Below are 4,203 nucleotides of genomic sequence, written 5' to 3' on the forward strand. Positions count from 1 at the left end.
ATTTGTGTAAACTTTTCCAATTCTCTATTAGTTAAATTTGAGGTTAATTGTCCATGTACACTTCTAGCTTGGCTTGTCAATTGTGTCTATTTCTTGCTTACGAAAGTAGATAAATCTTATCTTTCCCAAGCCCATTTATTTTATCTCTATTACTATACAGCCAGGCTCTCAGGTTTTCTTACACTTATTTTATTACAGTTTTCTTATTACTGGACTTTCCTCACACTAGTGATGCATTGCCACTGGCCTTTTGTCTTTCAATTCTCTGTCATAATAAAAGGAAAATACCCCTAAAAAAGTCACATTGGAGAGTGTGCAGTAAGAGGATTAAATCACAATCTATAATCCTGCACCTTTATTTCTCTGGGTGAAGTAATATCACAGATTTTCATATCTATGAAAATACATTGCTACAAATGAGCTCCGTAGATCCCTAAGTAAATTACAAAAACAGAAGGCCAGTGTATAGCAGAGATAAAAAGTTGTTTTTCTAATAAGTAATCATTAATTTATAGGCTGATAAATTTATGGTCAACTCAGAAATATTATTCTGCCTCTTGCCACCATTTTTAATATTTCTCTTATCCATATTCCTCTCTAGGGAAGCAAGAAATATGAAATGATTAGTTAATTGAAAATAGAAAGCTCAGATACTGTAGCAATACTTTCTCTGAGGTAGACAGAAAATAAATTAGAAGTAGATGAGGCCAAGTATTGGGGAATTAATGATAGCTTATCTGTGACCCTAGTTGTGACCAGTGTCCTGTATGTGAAGAGAATACTTTTTAATATGATTCTTTTAAAAGGTATCTTACACATGACTAATCATCAAGGAAATAGAAACCAAACCCACAAAGAAATAGTAACTTAAACCTGTTAGGATGGCTCTTATCAAAAAGACAAGAAGTAACAAGTGTTGCCAAAGGTGTGGAAGGACGAAAGGGAAAACTTGTACACTGTAGGTGGGAATGTCACTGTGGAAGACAGCATGGAGGTTCCTCAAAACATTAAAAATAGAACTACCATGAGGTGTCATGGCTAATGCCTATAATCCCAGCAGTTTGGTAGGCCGAATTGGGTGGATAGCTTGAGCTCAGGGGTTGGAGACAAGCCTGAGCAACATGGCGAAACTCTGTCTTTACAAAAAAACAGACCAAAAAAAAAATTACATGGGTGTGAGGTGTTTTGGCACATGCCTGTGGTCCCAATTACTGGGAGGCTGAGGTTACCGGGAGGCTCAGGTGAGAGGATCACCTGAACCCAGAGAGCTTGAGGCTGCAGTGAGCTGTGAGTACACCACTGCATTCCAACCTGGACAACAGACCCCATTTCAAAGAAAATAAAAACCCCAAATTTCATCATCTAAATCCTCTCAGTCAGGTATGAGTGAGGTTCTGAGTCTAATAGATTTTTACCATAATTTGTCCAATGACCTGTGAAATCAATGAAATAGTTTATCTGTCCCCAAAATAAAGTGGCAAAACAGGTGTAGGAAAACAGCTATAGACATTTTCGGTGTAAAAAGGGAGACAATAAAAGGGAAAAAACGAGTAATTAGTCTTAAGAAATTTTAAAATCCAGTAGTAAAAACCCTGTTAGCTTTTAAGGCATGAGCATAATTTTCTATGGTTTTTGAATCCATCCTTCCTTTTTTCTTTTGTTTTCATTAAAGGAAGCAGATGTTTACAGCTGAATAGATTTATCAGCCAACAGAATTTCTGGGGATCAAGAATCTTCTCTCATTTCGTGCTACTTGTCCCCCTTTAAGTTCAAGCCATCAATCTTTCTGCTGTTACATAAATCCCTATCACTTTGTGCATCTCCTAATATGTCATAGGGGTTCATAGCATTAAACAGGACACATTTCTTATGGAATCCTATTGCTATTTTGTCTTTCTACGTTGAAAGAACAATTGCTAAAGAACAATTGCCTCAAGCTTCCTTAAGGCCCCTGTTTAGATTGAGAAAATATGAGAATCACATACTTAACCTCTCAGAGCCTTTTGTATAACTAAGTACTTTGTTCTTTTGCTACTTTTTATTTAAAGTTCCGCTTAAAAAAAATCTATCACTCACCTCTAGCATTTCCTTATAAATAATCACTTGGTTTTTCCAATAAAGGTAAACAGAAATCTTACTCTTACTCTTGCACTGAAACACTTAAAAAACAAAAGGATATTCTCTATGCTCTGTTCTCTTCTGTTATCATTTTGGAAGTATGTGATGAGAATTGGGTGGGCCTCTACCAGCTTTCTCTGATCATTAAACTATTTTTATTTTAAACTATTGAGTATTTGGGATTATTTGTTACTGCAGCATAATGTAGCCTACGTTGACTGTAAGATAAGAAATTTCAGTAGATTTCTGTTAAATGCAATGGATTGCCATGGTAGAGAAATGAAAGGGAAATTAAGGAAAGATATCAGTAAGAACCAAATCACTTTTATAGGAGCATGGCTATAAGGAAGATAAATAAGACTGTAGGCCAAGAAAGGGCTACTTAAATATTGGTGTTTTTTGATATGAATACACTGGAGAAGAAAAATTGATTCTGTAATAAGGATAGAATAATTTATAGGGATAAGATTCCCAGGCAGTTAAAAGAGATTGGAATGCAAAAAAAAGTGACTTGCCTTAGTTTGTAAAAGAGTAATTTAATCTATTAAGCGGATTAGAAAGTTGACAAATTTTAAGGCTGGATTGTGGAATTTTGTGTGGCAGAGGAATCAAGTCTTGCCATTTTCAAGGAGCCGAGGGTGGGAATGGCAACATTTCCACATTTATTATTTTCACTTCTCCACAGATCCTTGTCTGGACCTTTTTTCAAAACACAAGATAAGAGCAATGTTGACCAGAAAATAAATAAAATAGCAAACATGGCATCACATACTTGACTTCAGGTAAACTTTTCAAGTTAACATTTCAATGTAAGTTGAAATGAAATGTGTGAGATTAATTTGCAAGGCCATGTATACTTTTCTTATTTTGTTTATAAATATCTGGTCTAATACAAAGCATTGTTAAAAAACATCTTTGGAAATCCTACACATTTAATAAGCTGACTTTAAATTTACATATGATAAGAAAGATTGAATTTAATCCCAAACTATGAAATTATGAAGTTACAAACTTGTTGTGTTCTATATTATTGAGCAGTTGATAAAAAATCTAATATATATAAAAATTTAGAATTGCTGATTGGAAGCCATTCTTCCCTTCATCAAATGATAAAAAGTAATTGAATCAATAATATTGTCTTATTTTTTTATTCAAAAGGAGTTCAATGTCTCCTTACCATTGAGACCTAATACATCCTTCTATTTCCACCCACTGAAAAAGAATCAGTTTTATACTTGCTTGCTAAGTTATTTTTCTAACTCTGCATGCCTCAGGGAAAGCTAATTAAAACTGTTGGCTGTTAAAAAACTATTTTTCTTTACTTAACCTTGTAAGTTTCTCAGTATTTTGAAAATACAAAAATGTATTAAAGGGACAAATATAATTCTGCAATGTGTTTTAGTTTGAATTTATTTCTTCTTTACAGTGAGATACTTGAAAATCAAACTCATGTTATTTTTTCCAATATGCTTAACCTAGACCAGAGAGAATTATACAACTGAATATTCTATCTAAAATTGAATATTCTATGTGAAATCAATATTTTTATAAAATTGGTTCATTGTGAAGATTTCTGGCTTCCTTAGTCATCTGAAAGTGAACTCAAAATCTTGAAGTACCAAAAAAATTTCAATGTAGGCCTTCATTTATTGGAAATATATGTTATAACCCATAATGTGGCAACTTCAGGACATTAATGAGACAATTGTATGTTAAATTGGAATGCAGATCAAAATAGGACAAATCTGCATAGAACAGCTATCAGGGAACACAACTATGAAACACAGCCATATGCTGTAACTTAAAAAAAAGTAACATCCCAGCCATTCATTAAATTGCGGCTGTGTGTAAAGCCCCATGCTAAGACCTACATTGAATTACTGATATAATCCCCAGAATTCTTTAGAGTTGAGTTTACATCAGAGAAATTTGGACATTGGGTAGTTTAGATAATTTTGCCTTGATCAAAAAGATTAAAAATGGGCAAGACCTACTTTTAAACCTAAATGTTTCTGAACTTAATGCATATGTTGAAGCAGAGGCAAAAACAGTCCTACAGATCAACATTCTTTTACTGTAGTGTGC

Source organism: Homo sapiens, chromosome 14 (assembly GCF_000001405.40).
Source record: "Homo sapiens chromosome 14, GRCh38.p14 Primary Assembly".
NCBI lineage: Eukaryota > Metazoa > Chordata > Mammalia > Primates > Hominidae > Homo > Homo sapiens.